This window comes from Homo sapiens, chromosome 3, assembly GCF_000001405.40.
Source record: "Homo sapiens chromosome 3, GRCh38.p14 Primary Assembly".
In the NCBI taxonomy this organism is placed as follows: Eukaryota; Metazoa; Chordata; class Mammalia; order Primates; family Hominidae; genus Homo; species Homo sapiens.
In genome coordinates, this window is record NC_000003.12 from 76,872,895 (window position 1) to 76,898,543 (window position 25,649).

Here is a 25,649-nt window from a genome sequence, read left to right on the forward strand (position 1 = left end):
ATTATTTCAAAGTGAGCAGTAGAAACATGAAGATCTTAAATGTATTTAGATACTGGCAATTTTAAAAGTGTTACTTAAAAGTGGCGTTCTGTTCAAAAAATTCAGATGATATATTGGTATTTTAAATATATTTTACAAAAATAGAAAACAAATCTTATATTTCTAACTCTTACTTGACTAAAAAATAGCCAGGAACTTCTTATTCTTCAGAAGAATAATGTTAAACCAAGATTACTTTTAGTGCACATTAAACATTACAAAGGTTAATAAATGTCACATTACAATGGATCTGTCAATATTTAAGCCTCTTCTAAGGCAAAGTTCATGTGCTCTAGGGCAAGGAAAAAAGCTTCATAAATATTTTAATTATTTCAGAACCGGAAAAAGGGGTGTATTTAAAGACTTGTAAACCATAGGAATTATTTTATTTTTAAATCTAGCATCCAGAATCTATACACATTCCTAAGAACATCCAGCATTTGAGAAACTCCTTCTACTATCAGCAAACAAAACTTTTTGTTTAAATTTACAACATCTTATATAAAACATTCTTTAAATTATGGAATGAAATAAATAATTTGCTTTCTAGAAACTTGTGGCACTTCTCACATACATTGATGGGTCTTGTACTGCCAGTTGCATTTCTTAAGGAAGTTAGTAGTTAGTAGTAGTAGTAGTAGTCGTCGTCGTCGTCGTTGTCGTCGTCGTAGTAGTAGTATGAAATGAGGGTCTTACTATGTTGCCCAGGATGGTCTCAAACTCCAGGGCTCAAAGGGTTCTCCTGCTTCAGCCTCCCAAGTAGCTGGGATTGCAGGCACTCTCTAACCTGCCCAGCAAACAATGGTGGCGTCAACACAAACTTTGCCCTGAAAGTTTTCTCATGAAATTTGCTCATTTGACAGAAGAGCAGCTGATGCTTGCTGCTTAGAAAAGAGGTTCTCTTTGCATTCCTTATTTCCTGTAGCCAGAGGCATATTGTGTATCTGAAGTTTACCACCCAGAAAGACAAGGCCTCGGCCTCCTCCTAATTTGATTATTGACCCCTGTGGCCTTGAAATAGAAAATGGCACTAGCCAAGATAAATAGAATGGAGAGAGAACCAAACAGAAGCATAACAGAAGTAGGCTAAAGAATGTAAATTTCCTCCAGTTCCCCAAGTTAAGAGGGAGCAGGTTAGTGGGCCAGCCACAGTTGATTGACTAAGGAGATAAGTCACCCTGGGAATTTGAGAAAAGGAATTTAAGTGCCATTAGGTTAAACAAAGGCTTTAGCTTAAACACTTTATGTAAAAGTTGGTTGTTTGTTTTCAGACCAATAAAAAAAAAAAAAGTAGCTTTGACTTCCAACAACCATTAACTTTGTTTTTGTCAGCCCATACTTCATCTCACCCATTAAGAATCTTCCAAAGTCAAACAGGGGACAAGTTTTTCATCTTCAAGCTGCCTCAGGTTTCTCGATTCTTTTTTCCCTTTCAATTCATTATTCATTATTGCCCAAAAATTTCCCTGAGAAAATCTAAGGGTGCTCTTGCTTTCTTTTTAAACTACATAAGAAATTCCAGGGATGAGCTGACATGGTTTTGTTTTAAATTACACATTTTCAAAATGAAAGGATACTTAAATTCTGATTGTCAAGCTAGCAGAGGGGCCATGGTGCCTGCACTTCCACCGCAGCTTATCACAGAAGTTCATATCAAAGACTCAGGGGTGAGGAGAAAATGATGGTTATTTGAAAGAGCATTTTAAATGTACCTGCAGTTCCTTAAATTAAGCAACTAACATTAAATTAAAATATAGACAGAAGATAAAATGGAAAACTTTAAAGGGGCATGGAATGAGTAAACAAAATTTGAGAGATGATCATTTAATTTCTTCACAGTTGATGCAAAAAGAGGGTGCCAGACCCGGACAGGCCAAGTGACTTCCTAAGGTGACACAGTTAATCAGTGACAGAGCCTAGACAAGAACACAGATCCCCTGACCCAGTGGGAACACATGGTTGAGATATGATATATGTAACGGAATTCATTCTGTCTGTGATTTTATGGTTCAATGTTTTAACATGAGAACATTTTCCTTGCCATTATGGTTTGCATGTGTCCCCTCCAAAATTGATGTGTTGAATGAAACTAATGGCCAAAAGAGGTGGGGCCTGAAGAAGTGATTAGGCCATGATGGCTCCTCCCTCATAAATGGGATTAAGGCCCTTATAAAAGAGGCTTCATGCAGTGTTCAACCCTCTTCACCCCTTCCATCCCTTCTGCCATGTGAGGATATAGCATTCTCCACTTCAGGAGGATGCGGCAACGGGGCACCAGTCTTGGAGACAGCAACACTCACCAGAAAACCAAACGTGCCAGTGCCTTGATCTTGAGCTTCCCAGCCCCCAGAACTGTGAGAAATACGTTTCTGTTCTTTGTAAATTACCAGTCTCAGGTGTTTTGCTATAGCAGCACAAAGGGACTAAGACAATTGCTGTGCATAGTGTATTAGATTCCTATGGCTGCTATAACAAATTATCACAAACTTAGTGGTTTAAGACAATATACATTAATCATATGAGAGTTCTGGAGGTCAGAAGTGCCAAATGGGCTTTATGGTGCTAAAATCAAGGTGTCAACAAAGTGGCATTCGTCTTGGAGATCCTGACTGGATCTATTCCTTGCCTTTTCCAGCCTCCAGAGGTCACCTGCTTCCTTTGGCTGATAGCCACTTTACTCTGAACTCTATCATACTTCCTTTTTGGATTCAGACCCTTTTGCCTCCATCTTTATTTTTTGATACAGAGTCTCACTCTGTTGCCTGGGCTAGAGTGCAGTGGTGCCATCTCAGCTCACTGCAACCTCTGCTTCCCAGGTTCAAGCAATTCTCCGCCTCCACCTCTCAAGTATCTGGGATTATAGGTGCCTGCTACCACATCCTGTTAATTTTTGTATTTTTAGTAGAGATGGGGTTTCACCATGTTGACCAGGCTGGTCTTGAACTCCTGACCTCAGGTGATCTGCCTGCTTTGGCCTCCTAAAGTGCCAGAATTACAGGCGTGAGCTACCACACCTAGCCCTGCCTCCTTCTTATAAAGACCCTATGATTACATTGGGCCCACCAAGAAATTCCAGCATAATGCCCCATCTCAAGATTTTTAATTTAATCATATCTGCACAGTCCCTTTGTCATGTCAAGGTAACATAGTCACAACCGTGGGGGATTAGGCTATGGACATCTTTTGGGTACCTTTATTTTGTACACTATACCTACTATTGAACCAAACACCAAGTTGGAGATAAGAAGCATGAATTTGAGAAGAATCACTTTCTCCATGGTTTTGCTGTTCAAGTATTAACTCATCAAACGAAAACATTTTGACCATATTATTGCATGTACTAAGAGTAATGGAAGTTTTATAAAAATATGGTCAGTTACCAAGTGAATCTGTTCCAATTATTAGACACATAAGAGGTCTTCTTTGCAGTTGCTTTGACTTATATAAAGAGTATCTTAAGGGTGGGCATGGTGGCTCATGCCTGTAATCCCAGAACTTTATGAGGCTGAGGCAGACAGATCACCTGAGGTCAGCAGTTTAAAACCAGCCTGGCTAACATGATAAAACCCTGCCTCTACTAAAAATATAAAAATGAGCCAGGCATGGTGGTGCATGCCTTTAATCCCAACTACTTGGGAGGCTGAGGCAGGAGAATTGCTTGAACCTGAGAGGCAGAGTCTGCAGTGAGCCGAGATCATGCCACTGCACTCCAGCCTGGGTGACAGAATGAGACTCTGTCTCAAGAAAAAAAAAAAAGAGTATCTTGAAGGTTAATTGTGAGAATTTATATATTGCAAAGAAATACAGGGTTTACATACTATTGCAATAATTAATGCACAAGTGTTTAACAAAATAAGACCCTATCCAGAATAATTGCATGCAAGAAGAAAAATTCACAAAAATTTGCTATTTCACTGCAATTAGAAAGTGTTAGCACTTTCATTAAGAACTATTGCTCTGCCATAATCAAAGTACAGAGATTTGCTTTCTGATATTCTAGAATGATGATGAATTCCTAGAGGATACTATCATTTTTAAGACACTAAAATTTAGAAAAAATACATCTACATATGCATATATATATTTTACAAGTCCTAGGTAAAAGGATATTTTACATTTTCCATAAGAGTAAAGAAAAAAAATATTTTCCAAGATTAAAATTACACAAATGTTTTGTACATGAACATGTAATATAAAATAGTATCATTTTATTAGTGTTTGAAAGTTAAGGCTTCTAATAGCAGTAACACTAAAGAAATAAGATTATAACATTTCTCTGCACAGACCAGTTTTTAATATTAGCTTAAGGTTTTTCTTAGAAGTGCTCTGGTTCTAGTCAAAAGATGGTAGTCTTAATCGTACGCAAACAGTACACACCTAAGTGTGTTTTCTTTCAGAATACGACGCTGTTAGGCCAAAATCCAAGCCTAATTAATTTAGTATTCTGTGCTCTAAGGTTGTGGAATCTTTGGAATACTAAGCTGCCAAAGGAGGATAAAAACAAATGTTTTAGAACGATGAGTTTGGGGGAGGGAGGTTTATGAGAAACATGATCAATACAAACCCAGTAGTTGATACACAGCTCTTCAGGGGCTTTTTACTTCTAGTATGAAGTAAATGATGACATGTTTGCTTTGGTTTTGACCACTCTGTTCCACTTTGTATCTTCGAAAGTTCTATGGCACACAGTAGATAGTCTATACATATAACCTGCTGTCTTATAAATAACCTGCTGTCTTAGTTGGCTCCAGCTGCCATAGCAAATTACCATAGACTGGGTGGCTTAAACAACAATTTATTTGCTCACAATACTGGAGGCGCATAGCTCAAGATCAGGGTGCCAGAATGGCTGAGTTGTGATTAGGGCTCTCTGGCTTGCACAGTTACCTTCCTGCTGTTTGCTCACATGGCCTTTCCTAAGTGCAGAGAGAGAGAGGAAGAAGTAAAAGGGCAGGAGGAAAGGAAAGGGCAAGGTGGAGGAGAAGGGAGAGAAGGAAGGAGACATGGAGATTTCATCTTTCTCTCTTCCTCTTCTTATAGGGCCACCAGACCTATCAGATTAGGGCCTCACCCATATGACCATTCAACCTTTAATTACCTTCTAAAAGCCCTATCTCCAAATGCAGTGGCATTAGGGATTAGAACTTCAACATATGAATTTGGTGTCGGAGTATGATTCAGTCCATAGCATTCCACCCTATGATGCATTGAGCACATTTAAGTTAAAAAAAGTTTCCTTAATGCATGACGTCTTCAAAAAAAACCTTATAAAAATGGATAGAGAAGTGAATGGAAGAAATGTTTTACCTCTGGCTGATAATTGTTAATGTATTTTTAATACTTTGTGTATCTTTTTGGAAAGACTCATAAGCAGCTAATGTTAAATGAAATGAAATAAAGACAAACAAAAAAATGACACAAGGTGCTTTATCTGTTATTCCCTCCTTATCGATACCTTTTTCACTAAAATTTATTCTTTTGGTTCTAATGGTATGTAATTGGCTTAAAATAAAAAGAATTCAGAACTCCTTTGAACATTTCCCACATAAATAAGTATAAAATAAATGAAATATGATCTGATCATTGTTTTATATTCAAAAACATCCAGAACATTGCCACAATGTCATACTGAATAAGAAAATCTGACCTAAGACCAATATGAAAATTGTGTACCAAGATTACCAAGTAAATTTTTGCCAACTAGCCGTATTTTCTTTTCTCGTTTATTCAATAGGGAGAACATAGTTTTTATAGTTGGAGGAAGAAGTAGCCTAGTTCTTCATTTAGCACACCAATGGTGTTTATTCAGACACCCAGAGATACCTTAAAAATTAGATTAGAGCTGTAAGTGAAACAAGGCTAGTGGCTTACAAGATAGCCATCAAAAATCCTAAACTGCATTTTAATAATGCAAAAACAAACAGGGTTAATGTTCATTTTAATCTCTTGATGATCTGTTTCATGCTCCACTTTCCTTCTCAGGTATTTACAGAGAGAAATAGTACGGCTAAAGTTTCTAATATTAAAAAGAAAAAGAATTAACATATTCAACTTGACTCAGAAATATGTAGAGGGAATGATTTAATAATATTCTTAAATTTGAAGTTAATTCATTTTAAATGTAAATGTCAATCGGAGAAACCCAGATGATTTATTCAGCAAAAAGATTCATCAGGTGATTTTCCTAATTCTACTTTTATGTAAACGTTCATTGCTCTACTGAGTTTTCATGTCGTATTTAATTGACCCTTTTATATTGAAAACATAGTCGAAGGAAATGTGAAGGGGAGAAGAGAAAAATCATGTATTCACTTTCAGATCAGTATGTTCAGCAGTTCTCAACTTTAATGTGCGTTTGGGTCACCTGAGAATCTGGTTAATGTAGATTTTCCAACTTAGTAGGTCTGGGGTGTGTGTCTAAGAATCTGCATTTCTAACAAGCTCCCGGGAGAGGTCCATGAAATATCATTTTGCTTATCAAGGTGCTAGAGAATAGGTGGTAGTGGGAAAAATCTAAGCAATCCCAAGAAGTGAACTCTCTTCCTCTGAAAAAATAATATGAAGAAGAAAATTCAAATTTAAACATCAATCGACCAACATAACTATAAAGTAAAACTGCCAACAAGCAGAATACATGTGAAGAGGCCTCTGTCGTTATTTCAAGTCCAGAAGATCAAAGCAAACAAACACAATCAAGAAGCTAGGGATACAGTAATAGAACAAATCTGCTATAGGTTGTATCCAGAGTCATTAAACTGATGATCATATGATAATAATAATGAAACTAATATATATTGTACCAGTACTGTCTACAATGTTTATTCGTAGTTAACTTTGATTATAGTTATCTGAAATGAAAACCATTGTGTTCTAAACTGTTCGTTATCTGTCCTGATTAACAAAAGATGACACTATTAAGAAGGTAAAAGCAAAAATATATTGGGAGTGTAATATGATGTCTTTCACATTTGACTGAGTAAATTTTGCTGTAGGATATAAATGCATTGGGTTTCTGATGCAAATTACTCATTATAAGACAAAGAAAAATAATAGAAGTAGTTCTCAGAGTAATGATTTAGGGCTTGGGTTTTACATGTTTTCCAAGGGCCTTTATGGTCATACATAATTCATGAATCCTTATTTCTGTAATGTTTGAAATTTCTCCCCTCGAAGTGTTTTTTAATGATTAGGTCACATGGTCAGAACAGTCCTTTAATGTCCTTTAATGTCTCCCTTTTTCCCGGTTTATCATTTTTCCATTTGGCCTAGGAATACATTAGCCTTTGCTACATACCCTCAAAACATCTACTTTCATAATCAGCTTGGAACAGAAAATGAACAGTGGGACCTAATTGAATATTATGTGTTTAAGATGGCTAAACCGGATAAAATTTTGAAATAAGAAATGCATATACATACATATAAAATAAAGATTAAAAGATGATCAGCACAAATAAAGAAATGTATGCTAGCTGAACATATTTCAGTGTGTAGGCAAAAGTATTTATTGAGTATAAAAAAGCATGCTGTCCTGAAATGGTGTAAGTGTTTCTATATGAAGACCAAAGTGGTTTCAAACTTTAAATATAAAACATTTCATTTATAACTAGTTCATTAGACATGTTAGTATGGTTTTTAACTTAAAAATTTGAATTTTTTGGAGGCCTTTTTAAAAATTCTAGGAATTTAGACATGATTTTAATGTTGGTGGTCTTTGTTTTGCCTAGCAAAATACAACTTATGTTCTCATATATGATCCTTAACAGCCCCAAATTGTTTGATACTCATTTGTTAAATGGAGTAAAAGGTTCATTCTTGATAACGCTAGATGAAAACATGTATGAGTACAGTGAATTTAAAAGAATATGCCACAGATCAAACTAATAGGCATTTTAAGCATTCTTAGAAGTTTGGACTTTGTGATACTTTATTAACACGGACTATTTTAAGATAGGAATTTGGAAAGAATCTTATTTTGTTTATTATTCAGCCTTTTCTCTCCTGGGAGAGTTTTCCTATATTAATTGCTTCTGTGCTCAGATGCCTCTAATTATTAACCTGCAGGTGTCTCTAATCACTGTTTCTTCCAGCAGAGTTTTGTTCGAGGGCCATTAGCTGTGATGCTTAATTACAATACACTGTACCTAGTTTTGTGTACTGTTTGATCTTTCACATAGCTTCCCAGACCCAGAAAATAGTCACTGGCAATCATTTTCTACAATTAACCACAGTGCCCTGTATCTCTTTCTCTATTATTAAATTGGGTCAGAGTGCGGAGAATTATACAAGAGCTAATCCTTAAAACTGAAGACACTAATCTCTGACACATCTAATGATACTTGTTCTCTAGGATATTAAAATCAAAGAAGGTAAATGTATTTCTATGTCTTAGAGTCTGAACAGTGAAGTAAATATAAAGACGTTTAGAGTGACTGAATGTGGAAATGTGCAGGGTCCTTAGAAATACACTATTTCTTGCGTTTTAAACTTAGAAAAGTATGGCTGCAATAGACTTAACCTAAATGAGACTTTTCTTTTTCTGGACTTCATCTGCTACATTGCATTGTCAGACTACTCACTTCCTAATGCCATTTTCAAACATGTAAAAAATACAAACTCTTGGAATAATTAGAATAATATCAACATAAGGACATATATCTGCTGCAAAATTATTCTTGGAATACAAAATATGTATTTTCTATTTTACATTGGAATAAATTACATGTTGAATGAAAATCTACATGCAAATAAAGAAGTTCATAGGTCAATAGTTTTCTCTTACTCAAAATGCTTATTTAGATCTCTGAATATGTCTTTTGACCCAGACGTGGCATCTAAATGGGGCCCTGTGATTATGGCCTTGGCTATGGCAGAATGTGTGGAGGCCAGGCCTGATGCTGTGATCAAACCTAATTCCATCTGGTGGCTTTCATGCCTTCCCTTGTAATTACTGTTTGGCTGGACTCAGCAGGATCACCAGGGTGTCTGTTGGGTGGTAGGTTGGTTGTGTGTGTGTATGTGTGTCTGTTGGGTGGTAGGTTGGTTTTGTGTGTGTGTGTGTGTCTGTTGGGTGGTAGTTTGGTTGTGTGTGTGTGTATGTGGGTGGCTGGGCTCAGCAGGATCACCACTGTGTCTGTTGGGTCGTAGGTTGGTTGTGTGTGTGTGTGTGTGTGTGTGTGTCTGTGTGTGTGTCTTTTGGGTGGTAGGTTGGTTGGGGGGGTGTGTGTGCGTGGGTGATGTTTGTTTCATTTTGTTTTGATTTGGTGGTTGTAGGTTTGGGTTTGTTGTTGCTGTGGTTGTTAGTTAAAATCCATGTTTCAAGATGTAAAATCCAATGTTTCAACAGTACAAATTCTCGCAGAGGTGAAACAAGTATCTGGCAATCTCTTAGTGTCACATTCAAAATCAGAATTATTTCATGTGTTCCACAGCTGAGTTTATCTTTCTCGGTTTTACCTACTAAGTTCACATTTAGCACATTTGAAGGTGTAATGTCATCACTCCTCTTTCAGGACTCGGTCACTCCCCCATCCCCGCCCTATATTACAAATACTTTCAGGGTATCAAAATAGCTTTTAAAAACACTTTTTTTTTTCAAGTGAAAACAGCATTAGTGTTTTTAGCACTTTCAGTGCCTGTTACCTGTGTTTCTTAGCATACTCAACAAAAAATACTCCCAAGTAACTAAAAATAAAATTAGCAAAACATACAGTTCTAATACAAATTTACAGTAAGGTTATATGCTTTTAAAAATCTATCAGAATCTTACGGGGAAAACATTTTTCCCATTTCTTACTGTATCTGTTCATTGTTAAATTTTTCTGCCCATCCATGAAATTTATTCTTGTACGTTTGTACTAGGAAACTAAAATTTTATTACACTGGAAACTCAACTCTTGCATAGAAGCTTTAAGCTACTCCATCTTTGAATGATAATTTTGAAGGTGAATAACTCTTAAACATGACATTTCAAATGGTTTTGGATTCAGTCTCCATAATTTGTTTCCATTATCAGTTTGTTTTGTGTATGTTAGCGTTACTTGTATCTGTAAAAGGATATTAACCTGGAATTCTGCCTACAGGAAGGAGAATGGCCTCTTTTGCTTACATGATCCCAAACAAAAACACCATCATCACCCGTTAGATAACCTATTTTAGGGTTTCCCTGATTTTATAAAGCATTTGTCTGACATATTATAACTATTTTAATTACTAAAAAATACCCATATGTATTATGCACTCTATATACACATAAGATATAAATGGCTGAACTAAAATCCTCATTGGAAAATTCTTGTATATTCTTTTAAAAGTCCACAGCATAAAAGTCTACTTTGTGAGCCTGAAAAAGTAGACTTCTACATCATCAGCATGTAAAAAATCTTTAAATCTCATTGAAACCTATTCTTAATTATTTAACACTCCTATCATGTTCAAATGTTGTGATTAATAGAAATGATCCTAAACTTTGTAGTCATTCGCAAAGCCCTATAATATGCTATAAAAACAATCTACTGACTTGTTATCTGGGTTCTTCATTCTAATCTTTCTGAATAATGAGGTGACTTCGGTATATTAATGATGTCATTTTCTGGTTTTTATCCTCAACAGAAGCATATGATGGAAACCATTTATCTCAAACCAATTTAGTATCACACTGTAGAAGACAGTAAATGGAAGAAGTCTTGTATTGTGATTTATTTCATGCCGTATGATCTAAGGTTGCTAACTATTCATTGACTTTATCTGGTGTCCAATACACGATTGCCTAATTAAATTTTGGTGTCTAAGGCATAGCTACTGTCAATGCAATGGTTTCCTAAAACTGGTAAAACGATTAACTGTGGAATTTGTGCTGGAACTTTTTGTTCAACAATATTATCTCTCAATATATCATGAGAGAGTTTTGCTTAAGAGAGTCTTCAACTTAATTATTCAAGTTGAAGCTATATTCATGCTATGGTGCAATGCAATGAACAGAATTCAATTCTAGAAATAGACTCCAGCTGGTTTACAATGACCATTTATATTTTGTCCTTTGTTATATGTAGCATATTCACAATAATTAATAAACATTTATCAATCCTCTGTATGAGTGCACTAGGGGGTTTAATCATCTCTTCTTGCTTAGAATAGGCATAAGCATTATTATGAATCATCTAAGTAGCACATCTTCATATGCTTTTTTGATAGATGAAAAGCATCTTAATAGAAGTTAAGTTTAAATTTGGCATAATTCTGTTTTATAATGTAACAGTTACAAATACAAAATAAGTAGAAATATCCCCTTTTTCAGTTAATGAAATTGAATGGAATAACATCTATTTTGAGAAGACTATATAAATTGTTAATATTTTATGTGGAAGTATGCATAAAAATTGTCATTTCTGTCCAAACCTTTATTAAAGATCTATTATTCTCTAAGCTGCACCACACATCAGAGATACAGAGATAAATAAGAGACAGTCCCTGTTCTCACAGAACTCACTTTCTAGTTGGGGAAATGGTACTGTAGAGCAGCAAACACATTACTGTTATGGCTGCAGAGAAACGCAGCAGAGAAACCTTGCACAGAGGCCAGCTGGTATGTCAAATCAGAATTCACCAGGCAAGCGTCCCCTAGGACTCTAACCACCTTTGACTCAGTTCTCAGCTTTGCAATCTAGGAACATAGTTGTCAGCAACTAAAAGATCAAATCAAGGAAACAGATTTTTATTTAGTAAGTTACTAGAAGCCTAGAGCTGTTTCAATATTTTATGTTAGTTTTCCCAATACTTTCCTATTAGATTATATTTTAATCTTTTTAATTAAATTTTATTAATTTTAATGTGAATGCATTGGAATTGTTAATTCTGAGGTTAATGCTTGTCTAAGAGGAGACAATATTATATCCAAATAGGAGACAGCTGTGAGGGATGCCTCACTTTCACATCTCCCCAAACAGAAATGATAAATATAAGTTTCCTGCCAATAGCTTAAAGAGGGTGAAATGAAGACACAGAGGAGAGATGGTTAATCTTTTTGAGAAGATCTGGGTCAAGAGAGTTGAATCAGACACCTGATTCAACTCGATTAAATAAACAATGGATGCAAATCGGCTGAAAAGGTCAAAAGCAAAAATGATAGAAGGGACGTCTGAATGATTTAAGGCTTTCTTGAGACTTGAGCCAGGAGAAAAAAACTGACTAGCCAATAACTGCAGGATTTTATGTAGGTTTATATAAGCAAGCCATAGATATGTAACAGTGTTCCTAGATGGTGATTATTTCTGTGGGTAATTTTACTGTCCTCAATTTTTTCCTTACACACTGACTAGAAACTTAAATTTGAATAAAATTTAACCATGCAATACAGTATAATCTTTATAGAGAAAAGGTGACTATTGAATTAAGCTTTGAATATGTGTGCAATTTTCTCCGATGCAAAATGCAAAAGCCACTTCAGGTTGACAGAACACATATTTATTAAACAAATATAAAAAGGATTTATCTGATATTATAAGATTTCAAATATCAAGCCGTACAAAAATAAAGCTGTTATACGTTTTATCATAATTTATTAATGATAGAGTTAATAAGCAAGCCCATGATTCCTACTGAAACTATTCCAGGATGTGTGTTAGCTAAAAATACCAATGTTCACACACGTGTACATGCATTGCCCATAATTAACCCATCACAAAAGTAGATCTCAAATTAGAAGATGAATGCAAACCACCCTTGAGTGCTAAAATCAGAAAAGACAAAATGAAGTGGTTGGTACTTATGAACTATATCAGGTACCTCTAGTGCTGCCTAAGAATCTCTCTCTGGGGCCCTTGAACACTTATCTCATTCCAGATCTGGCAAGTACTGATTTTGAATGATTACATCTTTCTTTATGCTCACATGGCACATTTTTCCTGCCTCCTTCATGTTTTCCTCTTGTTCCTGAGACAAGAGATGCAACTGGGACACATCAGGGCTTCCTTATGTGCAACCTGAAAGTGTGTGTTGGCAGGTGAGGAGCGGGGGAGGGCAGGTTCATGGCCTATGAAGAAAACCTGTCACAGTGGAAACTGGAAAAGACTGATTAATTATTTTTTCCTTCCCCCAAGGTAGACTGAGGTACAGCAGTTCATGCCGCCTTTTGAAGATGGCAAAATTGCGCTTGATGCAGAGTGTTGACAGCTTGGGAATGCACCTGCATGTTTTTGCTCTCCCTCTGTCTCTTTACTCTGGTTCTGACTTCCTTGGGAGAGCACTTCCTAATAAAGAATTAGCACATAAACTTTTTCTTGAGATTCTACGCCTTTTATAGCTAGGAGAATAACCAATTCCAAAAAAATATATATATATATATAGACCCTTTGGATTGCAGATAACTTCATTAAAGCTTTGGAAAAGCAAGGACACATAGTTCTTCAAAACTGTTTCTATGGAGATTTAAGGAATAAATGTTTGCAGACTTCAGCCTTTTAACTTAAAAAAAAAAACAACCTTTCTGGTTGCAAACACAATAAAGATCAGTAAGCCCAGCTTCTGAGTTATGGTTCATGGTCTGATACCCGGAGCCAAGTCCTCTGGCTACTTCAGAAGGAGGGAATGTAGGTTTTCCTTCTTTGCACTTCCGGTAGATGCTGTTTACAGATGGGTGGAAGATCAGCAAACTTTCTCAGGGAAAGCATAATGTGATTAAAACATAAAAAGCAAATAGAAGTTGGCAAGGGAAAGGGAAGTGAGGAATTTGGGAGTAATACTAGATGACTAGAAATCAGGATGACTAGAAATCAGGAGAGCACAGTTGCATTCACGAAACTGGATTCAATATGGTCACGTTATAAAGTGATGGCTGAGGGTGTGGTGAGAGATGAGACTAGAGAGGAAGGAGAAGACTAAGTCTGAGCTATTTGAGTTGGTGGCCACTAGCTATATGTGGCTACTTAAATGTAAGTTAACTGTAATTAAAGATTTCAGTCTTCATTCACATTAGCCACATTCGAAGTGTTCAGTAGCCCCATGTGGCTAGTAGCCACTACCTTGGACAGAGCAGAAACATCATAGAAAGTTTTCATTGGGCACAACTTGGATAGTTTTCTAAAGGTGTTCTAAGGTATTCTTATGCAATAACCATTTGTATTTATTGACAGATTTAAAGCAGTGTGTTTCTTTCAAAAGCATCAATTTAAAGGGAAAGATGGGGCATTTTATTGTATTTATTTTATTTTGTTATTTGCTTTTTAATTACTAGTGAGATTGCCCTGCCTTTGCTTCAGGAAGCATTTTTTTTTTTTTTTTTTTTTTTTTTGGTAAGGAATGACATGATGAGAAAAGCACTGGACTAGACTCTAGTCCAAAAATTAGCCATGTCATTTTAGGCAAATCCCCTGATTTTATTGATTCTCTGTTTTCTCAACTGTTAAGGTCATTAAACTTCTGTGTCGCTAGTTCTAACTCCTAGTTAGTAAATAATGTAAAATAAATAATAAAATAAAGCAAAAACAGAGGGAAAGAGTTGAAAACCCTTTTTCAGAGGATCATTAACTGAGTCGTAAGGTGCAGTGGTGGGTGCATCAAGGGGGTTGTGCGGTGGCTGACAAGAGGTTGTAATGTGGGGAAGGGCAGGAGCGGGCTGGTCTTTACCCACTGCCATCCCCGTCCTCTTATTAAATAGAGATTCCTAGTATTGCTGTTATAAAAAATGTCCTGCTAAACATAGTTCTCTCAAAAATATTTTTCTGAGATTCTCTGACAATTAAATCTGGATCCCAGCCCCAATATTCACCTGCAATTACATTATGGATGAAATTAAATGTGCACTTTCTATGGTGTACATTTATTTTTCAAACCTCAGGAAGCCATATTGAGCTCTTAATCTCAGGTCAAGTGTCTTCTTATATCCCCTCCCTTGATTTTTGTACTCATAAGGTTGTATCCAGAGAGAAGTTTGAGGAATAATTCATTACCTGGGAATTAAAGTAAACCTTGAGCTTGGGAGTCCTAACATATAACCATCTCTAAAATTCTGCAACTGTAGATTTTTAATCATCTAATTTTAGGGACTTCAAAATATTTTTCTGACTTTACCTACATTCGAATTAAGTTAAAATAGCACTGATAATGGATAGTAGGATCCAAACAGAAACATTTTAAATGAATCTAGTTAAGTATTGAGCCGGGCACAGTGGCTCACACCTGTAATCCCAGCACTTCGGGAGGCCCAGGTGGGTGGATGACTTGAGGCTGGGAGTTGGTGACCAGCCTGGCTAATGTGGTGAAACCCCGTCTCCACTAAAAATATAAAGATTAGCCAGGTGTAGTGGTGCACGCCTGTAATCCCAGCTACTCAGGAGGCTGAGGCAGGAGGATTGCTGGAACCTGGGATGCAGAGGCTGCTGTGAGCCGAAATCACGGCCCTGCACTCCAGCCTGGGTGACAGAACCAGTCTCTGCTCCAAACAGTCAAACAAACAAAAGAGAATCTAGTTAAGTGTTGATGGTGAACATCAGCAGGCCCAGGCTTAATACTTATTTTTCCAACTTGCTTACTATAAATAGGAATAGATTTATTCTTGCCCATATTGTACCCGTAATAGGCATGAAAATCAAATTAAAATAAATATGAATAGGAATTAAAGTTTTATAACAACTTCAATCAAATCAATATGTGCACTCCATCAGAATTACAATTGATATAGTATATAGGAAAAATTGTGTTATCTAGGTTGTGTTTACATATGACATCGTAGTCTTTACCATTGATGAATCACCATCTATAGATACATCACCCTTTAAAAATGCCTCGGATTATCTCATGCCACTGGAAGACTTTTGGCTCCAGGTTTTAATCAGTACTAGCAAGAGTTAAGGAAGCTGATTTATTGGCTCAGTTTGTAGTGTGAATGTTCACACGTATGTAATGTTTAAAATCCTCTAATCTCTGTGCAACCTCTCTGGGTTGTGTTTCCTCCAGAAAAATATTATCTGTTAAGGAATAATAACCTTTAACACTAAAGCCAATTTTTCCTGGAGCTTGTAATCTCTCTCAAAAGCTGACAGATTGTTTGGTCAGAATGTTGGGAAGGATCTTCATCATTTTTATTCATTCTTCACACGATGTACACACCACAGTGGCTCCTGTGTTGGAGCCAGGCCTACACAACTTCCTGTGAGCTTCTCCAAATCATAGCTGTGCTGCCAGGTCTTGACTGATGATAGTTGTTGAGAATCTGATTCATATTTACAATGATAGAGAGAAACCCTTCACCTAGCCAGACTGATCACTGAGATGAGACTGACTCACTTGCTTAGTGTAGGCACAAAAGCTGATTTTTAAGTCTTGGCATTTTATTCTCAAAGTAACTCATAAAAAAGAGATTCAAAATATAGGCATTATTTTTACAAAAATATTCATAACTTGTTAAGGTATCAAATCTTATAAGAAATGGGTGTCAAGAAATGTTTGAAGAAAATTTACCTGGGATATTAGAAAAATCATAGATTAGGGATGATTCCTATTTTAGGAAGTAAGGGAAATAAAATGATAAAATCACCAAAAGAACATGCTGATAAACATGGTAAAGACTTCTAATATTTAAAAGTTAGTATTTCAACACATGCAAATAAATTCAATAGCTCCATTTCATAGTGATAACATTGGAATAATAATATGGTCATGTAACAAATGTTTATCGAATATATACTGTGTGCCAGGCAGTGTTCTAGGTTCTGGGGAAAAAAAGAAGAAAACCATTAAAATCCCCTGTGTGGATTACACTTTGCTAAGGAAGATAGTAACAGATGTTTATGTAAAATAGAAAAGCTATTACATAGTGATAATTTTATAAGAAAATTGGAATAGAGAGTGCTTGGGGAAAAGCTGGTTGGGTTGTATTTGTTTTTTGTTTTTTTCCTCAATTTTAGAGTGGTCAGGAATATTCTCTAGAAAAAGGTGGCATTTAAGCAAAGGGATGAAAGAGGTAACATATTATGGCAAGCTTAGTGCAGATTGCTCAGAGTGGAGGAAATGGGCTATGCAAGAGACCTGAGAGAGAAGTGAGAGCGATGTAGGAGTAGAGAGGGAACTTTGAAGCAAGTAGTAAAGGGCCGTTTGTGCCATCCTAAGGACTTTCCTTTCACTCTGCGTGTAATGAGAAGTCATTTCAGGATTCTGAGCCAGACACTATCATCATCTGTTTGACATTTTCACAGATCATTCTGCGTTTGGAACAGACTGTGGACTAGAAATATGATAGTGGGTTATTGAGCTATTACCAAGTGCCAGGCGTTGAACTAAGAAATTTACATATCGTATGCTATTTAACAGTCCAATAAATGTAGATATTATGATTAGCCTTCATTTACTGAGAATAGGAAATTGAGGCTAAGAAGAATGAAATCAACAGCATCCTTAGTAAATTACACAGTGAAGATTTGAGCCCAGTTCATCTGTTCCAAGTATCTGCATTGCTCACGACTATACTTTATTACCTAAGATCAGGTGAAAATCACCACTAGCATAAGTAGTTTCAAAGTGGCAATATCAAGGGTGTTCTACCTCTACCCCAAACATCTCTTCTCAGTAGCTGTCTGTCCCAGAAGAGCCATAGCCATTTCCAAATAGGGCCTGAAATTTTCTTAGGATGACTTCTGGTGTGTGTGTATGTGTGTGTACAGTATTGATAGATTAGACGGGTAAATATATATTGCTATGGTGAATCCAATAATTTTTCTATCGTATTTTATCTATCACATATTACTTTTTCTATATTGACTGTGTAACTTTGCCACTTACTGGACACTCCAACTAGTAACAATGCTAGCATTTTTATTAAATATTTTGTGTTATCTTAGCAGACACTGTCTTTAATGACAATTTTGTAGCTGCCTTTCTACTGTTTGCTCCTCTTATTTCTTCTTCTTCTTGCCTGTTGCACTTAATATGTTGGTGGCAGTAGGTAGCCTTATCTCATTTCTCACCTTAGTGGTAATTTTTCTAATATGTCACTATTAAGAATGATGTTTGTTGAAGGTTTCTGGTATATATTATTTGTGAAATTAAGACAAATCTTTCTTTTCTGAGCTTGCTAAGCAATTTTAAAGTTAGGATTGGGTTTTGAATGTTGTCAAGTGCTTTTTCAGCTTCAAAATCTCATGATTTATTATTTCACTTTTTGTTCATTAATATACTTGATGGAATTTAATTTATGTAGTTCTTAATATCGAACTATCTTTACATTTCTCATGATTGATTTTTAAATATTTCTGTATTTTTCTTACCAGTATTTTGTTTAGAAGTTTGCAAATATGCTCAGAATTTAGATTGAACAATAGTTTTTTCTTTGTGCTAACATTATCCAGTTTGGATATTAAGAATATGCCATTTTATGGAATAAATTGGATGGATTTCTGTATTTTCCTAAGCTGTTGAACAATTTAAATAAATTTAAAATTATTATTTTTGATTTTTAATAAAAATCTATGCAAAACCATCAGATCCTAGTATCTCTTAGGAGATTTACGACTACTTTTCCAGCATTGTTTATGTTCGTGGATCTATTGGTTTTTCCATCTCTTCTTGAGTTGATGTGGACATTGAAATTCGAGTATAATGACAGGTGTGGTGTTGGAGGGAAAGAGTGTTCAAGCAAGCTCCAGTTGATGGTATTTCAAGACACAAAAGGGAATGACAGAAAGTCCAGTGGATAACAAAAACAAGAACTGTAAGTAGACAATCGAATCTAATGGTTTACGCTTCAGAAAACTCACATGAATTGAAGGAGGATGGAGAAATAATGGTCTGGATCTTCACGAAAAGGAGGAGAACCTATAAATCACCTTGAGCTCAAGGAAGACAGTTTATAGGAGACAAAATTTTCTCCACCTAAGAGGGTATCAGTGGAAGTAGTAGACTAAAAAGAAATAGCAATTTTAGTTTTGTAACATTTAGAGAAGAAAGTAACTACCTTGGAGAATTTTGGTGTAAAGTGGTTCGAGTTCTAGAAAGTGCAGTGGAAGGGTCTGGGGGTCAGGAGAGGTGGCAGATCGGACAAATTTAGCAAATGTGCCTACAGTGGTGAAAGCCTCTGTGTAGGAGGTGACCTGGGAGTTAAACTTCTCGTGGGAATGGAGGTGACAGGAATGTGGGACATTGATGAGATTAGACCTGAAGGATTTTCAGGAAACCTGTGACAATAACACTGCAAATACTGGCATAATTTTTAAAGAATGGGAAGGTAAGAAGCGTCCTGCAGGAGCATGCCGAATTCTGTGTCACTCAGTGGTTCCGTCTCCCCGTGGCTGTATGGAGGTCACACGAGGGAGATGTGCCAACTGCACACAGAACTAACTGCCTAGGCAGCTTTGCCAGGAGTATTTATGGCTCTGTCTTAAATCTCTGATTTTGATATCCACAAATAGGATAGCATCATAGTTTTGGACTCTTTGACACCAATTTCGACCTGTCATCTACTTAGCCCATAGCCATTACCATAATCTCAAAATCAAGCATTCCACTCTTAGACATTATTTCCCACCTTTACTGTCAGCCCATCTAGTGCCCAGATGCCAATAACAATTCCAACTCTTTTGGATTTCCAATTTATGGAAACTTCCCCACTGCCTTCAGGTGTCTTTTTACCTGACTGATTTCCCTGGTCCAACGTAACGAACACTCCCTCAAATGTAAGCTCTATATGCTTTGTCCTGTCTCTCTTCATTTTCCCTACATATCTACCAAAAATACAACTCTGGTTAAATTTTTCATCTATTCTTCACCTGAATAGTTGGAGAAAAACACACAACCAAACTTGCTTGATTCATTTTAGATTCATAACCAATGATCTCCAATAGAAACAAGAACTCTCACTTCTCTAGCCAATTCACTTTCTCTCTTCCCAAGATGAAGATTTCACACCTTCTCTATCCTCCTCAAACCTATAAGACGTCCTTTCCAGTTCTTTCTCCAAGTTGATTATTTTGCTTGTTAATTCATTGAGGAAATATAAACAACTAAGGAAAATTCCCATCTGTTCCAACAACTCTTCAACCTACCTTCTTCTCTACCTGCCGATGTGGCCAACCTCCTACCTCAAAAGATAAATAGCTATTCTGTTTTTTGCCTGAAACTGTCTCCTCCAATTGGAACCCTGGATTCCATCCCATAGCCTAGAATAATTGCCATTTTTATCAATTAATTAAAAATGTTGGCTGCCTCTTCAAAATATACGGTACGCATTATCCTTTGAGTTATTTTTGCAATGTTATCATCATCTCTTCCCCTTTGGGCCAGACACACACACACATACACATGCATTCAAATTCTGAACTATTCAACAAGATGACAGCAAGAATGAGGGATAAAACAAGAAAAAAAAAACAAATTTAGAACTTTTCAAGTGAACACACACACACACACACGCACTACACTGTAAGAAAAATGCAGAACCAGACTAGCTGAATTCATTTAATTCATTTTTAGATCATTGGGGAAGAGCAGGATGGCTAGGAATTACCTTGGTGATGAAAAAAATGACTCCTTCAAAATCAAAATAATGTCTAATTGAATATACTGATTATTTCCTTCTGAAATAATTTCAATTAGTTCATTTTTCTTTTTTCTTTTTTATTGATGTATAACATATTACATATATATGGGTTATATGCAATATTTTGTTACATGCATAATATGTATAATGATCAAGTCAGGGTGTTTAAGGTATCCATGAATTCAAATATTTATAATTTCTATGTGTTAGGAACAATTCAAGTCCTCTCTTCTAACTACTTTGAAATATACAATACATTATTGTTAAGTATAATTACTCTACTCTGCTGTGGAATGATAGAACTTATACCTTTTATCTAACACTATGTTTATGCCCATTAACCTTCCATTCTTCATACCCTCCTCCCACCGACCCACCCTTCTCAGCCTCTAGCATCTATCATTCTGCTCTTTACCTTTATAAGATCAACTTTTTAGCTCCCATATATGAGTGAGAACATATGATATTTGTCTTTTGTTTTTATAAACAAGAAGTGAATAATTACCCCTGATTTAAGAAGCCTGTGAATTGATAGACGATTTTGCCTAACTGATATGGAAAAGTTTGCTCTTTCAACAGTAGAGATTAATAAAGGATTCCCTTGAATGGCGATACACCCTTTTGAAGTCTTGGTCTGTACTTTGTTATTCAGGTAGTACTGCTTATTATCTGTGGGAGGAAAAAAAATCTTTTTTCCTGCTTCACTAAACCTATTACCAATACTTGCATTACAACTTGTTATTTCAATGCATTTTGGATTCCATTAGGTGTTTGCATATGATTTTGTGTATATTTTGGTGTTTTAAAATGTTGTCCCTGTGGATCAAAATATGATAACTAAATTATCAATCATGTTGGTATTGCTGTAGATCAGATTATTGTTGTCTTATAAAACAGGTATGGCCTGTTTAAGTCTTAGAAGTCTTTTATTTAGTATGTTTTACTATCTTAAATTGTTATGTCAAAATATGTAAGAACGACATTGTGTTGATATATTTTTATAGGTAAAATAATTTCTCATTGTGATTATGTAATTTTCTTTCCATTAAGGTGTGAAGCACAGGGTCTTTGAAAAATAAACTGCTGACTGTGTTTTGCTTGTCATTGGTAGTATTGCCATATAAAAAGATATCTGACAAGGAAATATTTTATGACTTGTGCTGAAGCAGTCAGTAAGTTATCATAGTTCTCATTTGAGTAGTTGTAGGCCTCTCAATTGCTTCCTAAGTAAAAAGTTTTTCTGGCCAATTTTAATCTTGCTCAGAAACATGAAAATGTATTTCCTGTGTATACCATGGACAAAGTTCCTGGAGAAAACATGTTTATCTAACTTTAGTCACTTTTTTTCTGAATCATGTGATGGTTTTGACTTAATTCAACTGTATTAACTCAAAGAAATCCAAATTTTCAATTCAACCAGAAACAAATGGAATTGTACTTGCATGGAAGAACCAAGATTATTTTCTTTTAAGTAACACAGTTTGGTTTTTTTCCTTTCAGAAAATATATTAGAGAATTGTTTGTGTTAACTATTTTAACATTGTGCATGTCAGTAGTAATTAAAACCTTAAAATCAAAAAGTAGATTTTTAACTTTGAATTGAGATATTCCTGACTGGAGGGATTTGTTTCTCCTCTTTTTCTTTCTCTGTTTCCTTCTATTCATCCTCTTTTATCTTCCTCTTCTTTCTTACATTCTCTTGTTGAAGTATCTGGGTGATCATTTTTTTCTAATGTCTTTACTCTAAATCATTTAGCTTTAAAAGGAAAGCTTATAAAGGTAGCAAACAACTCCTTCGGGTAAAATAAGTATGTGCTGACTGGTGGTACGCAAAATACCTACCTGATATTTTCCCTACTTGAAATGCACTGTGCCCAAATCATAATAAATTTTCAAATAAATAAAATTTGTGATAGTTCACACAGAGGCCAGAACATTGCATGTTTGCTGTCATAAATAAGTATTATATTTATAATTCTTAAAATTAAATTATATATTCATTCATTATACTTTATCATAGCATATTTGTAGCACAGTGCTTTATAATTTCTTTATTGATTATTGTGTGAAGTCTATATGATTAGAACCAAGTACCATTCATATAAGAATAGTGTTTTAAAAATAGCTTTGTAAACAGTAGTAGACACCTTCAGAAAAGGAAATCTCACTTTCCTTTGGACTCATAACTAGCAAAGCTAAGGTCTTGGAAGTCTGCAATATTGAACTGAAATAGCTAAAATAACTGCAAAATATGATTATATGACAGAGTGCTTAAGAAAAGCTTTCATGTTCCTTGTAGGAAGATAGTTTTCATTTACTCGAATTAGGTTACTCTTTTCTACTTTAGAATAAGACATTTTTTAAGTAATTTCATTTTGGCAGCTCTAATTCTCCCAAGAATGTCCTTTGTATTTCTCACTTTGCAAAACGGCACTGCTTGCTTGTTTGATCTTTTCCCTTGGAAAGTAATAGGACGCTTTCCTTTTGCTCCTTGGACAGCCTGACTCGCCTTCTAATCCATCACAACGGCATGTGAGAGGCCTTGCCTCTGGAATCCTGACCCCACCCCGGGAGCTCAGTTCTTTACTTGCAATATTACTGCCAATTTGGCATATTTGAGAGTTCAGTGTCTCCTCCGCCTCTGGCAGAAAGAAAAACCCATTCCTGACCTTTCACCCACATATGAGCCTCTTATTATCTATTATTAATGTACACATTATATAGACTATCAATAGCTGAGAATGAGAGAAAACATTTCTATTTAGAGAATTCTAATATGTCTTTTATTGTTAACTCAATTCTTAGCCATAAGGGTTAAAACTACTGTAACTACCTGCAAAACTGAACACATTATCTTTTCATTTAAAATAGTAAAAGTAGCCTCAATCTTTGAGCTCTTCATTTTATGATCTTGATTTTTTTAACTTTGGAACTTTTTCTTTATTGGAGTTGTGAGGATGTATTGACTACTTAAATCCTGCATTTAATGCAAAGAATATACAAATATTAGCAAGACAAATAATAATAAATTGGGATATATTTATATTTCAAATAAATGCTATTGGGTGAATATGTGATATAGATGATCATGCACCTTCACATATTTAAATGCTATTATCCTCAATTCTTAATTGAGAATGTCCGGTTCAGTTAAAAAAGTTAGTATTAGAATCTTATCAGGTACAAGAGCTAAAATTAAAATGCTAAAATTATGACCTTATGTAACTCACTTGATATAATTTTCTTAGTCTGATAACATTGGTGACTGGGAGTTTATCATATCCTCACTAGATAAGAACTGTTGTCATTACAATTTTCCTAATAATTGAGCCCATTGATTTTGATAATGAATACTTGAGGACTTAGGAGAATTTCTAAACTTTTAGGAAATTTCTCAGTACTTTTAAAATAGTATTTTTAAGCTCCAAATTTCAAAATATACAGGAGTTAAATCTTGCCACTCTCTCTGTGAATACTGGATCATTGATGGGAGGCAGTGGAGAGCTAACTCACATTTAGGGCTTATTCCACTGTGTGGACAGTTGTCAGCACTGTGTGTGATAACTAAGCACTCTACCTCTAGAGTCCATTCAAATATTTTACTCATAGAAGGGTCTAAGAATATGGACCAATGGTCCAATATATGAGCACTGAGTTTGTCTATTGTACCTAAAACTACGTTAAGCAGTTTTCATTTTCACTTCACATTTATGATGGATCTATCAGTAGTTGAAACAGGATTGAAATTTAGATTCACATTTAAAATGCTAATTATATTCTTGTGTAACTGCATAACAACATCAGGAAACAGCTGCTTTCACCAAAAAAAAATGCTGGCTTTAACTTATATTAAAGAGAGTTTCAGCAGTTTTGTAAAACTTTGGAGCACCCCCAGTGCATTTTGGGGATAATTTTTATGAGGCCTGGAAATTCTATCCATGAAAATGTTTAAGACACAGGAGGATCATCTTGAAAACGGCAAAACAGAGGGTGAGATATTGACATCAATACCAAACACATTGAAAAATCACATTTTGCTCTGATGCAGATGTTGATGTAAAGTGCAGACACCGTAAACCAACCTACATGACATGATTATAAAGTGACAAGTACTAGGGAAAAAAAGTACCTCAGTTAAAACTAGAGGGTCCTAAAGATCAAATTGGCCTCATCAATGTGCTTCTTTCCTTTGGTGAATGTATGTTCTGTTTACTTTGTTAAAATTGAAATTTATCCAGGATAGAGTGGCCCTCACTTTTTTTTTTTTTGAAATTTTTTTAGAGCTGGATATGGAATATGAAGTTTATATGTTACTGAGTAAATTGATGAATAATTACATGGAAACTTTCTCTTCATTTGTCTGTCCAATGGCTATATCCGATATTGATAGCATGTTGTTGTATATTTATGTACAGTTAATTGAACAATTAATGATCAACAACAAAAACTGTTCATAACTGATTTGTTGTTTGTAGAATTTTCTAGTGTAGTTGTTATACATTTGTTGTTAGTTTACCTGGTTTTCTAAAGTATATTTTCATGTCAACACATTCCTGATGGTAAGATTGCTGCTTGGTCACTGAAGGGTCTGAGTGGAAATGGGTGCATTGTCTCTCATAAGGGACATTCTCCTCCACAGAATTGACAATAGCAGCTATTACATATTGATGATTGCTTTGGTGCACTTTATTATTTAATTGAAATTATTACATCTCATGGAAAGACCATAGGATAAAACACTTCCATAAAAGTTTATTTTATTTATTAAAGGCTTTATTTTTAAAGTGCTATTTTACAATTTGAATTGCCTTTATAATTGTAGTACAGTTTTAACACAATTCAATAGCATAAGACATCCCAAAATTAAGATAAACAGTGCCAACAGGTGTGATTCAATAAATCCATCTAAAATGAGTATTAATTTACCTTTTTAAAAGACTTACTCTTAAGATGGCACATATAATTTATAAATAATATGTATAAATAGCAAAAACTTTAATACACATACACATAAAATCTGATTCATAATATCTACATCTAATTGCGATATTTGTAAAACACATTTTTAATAACAATGGGTTACATG

The 25,649-nt window shown here is 35.3% G+C and overlaps 1 protein-coding gene across 29 annotated transcripts in view, besides 1 other annotated feature; it reads left to right on the forward strand.

Annotated features, from left to right (window-relative positions):
* ROBO2 (roundabout guidance receptor 2) overlaps positions 1–25,649 on the forward strand; it is a 1,743,290-nt gene that overhangs the window by 966,220 nt on the left and 751,421 nt on the right. The gene's annotated exons all lie outside the window — the stretch shown is intronic.
* Positions 4,691–4,891: a silencer, noted in NCBI's record as "peak4713 fragment used in MPRA reporter construct". NCBI's record gives its function as "represses an SCP1 promoter by STARR-seq MPRAs in K562 erythroleukemia cells {active_cell/tissue: K562}" and the evidence as "EXISTENCE:reporter gene assay evidence [ECO:0000049][PMID:32103011]".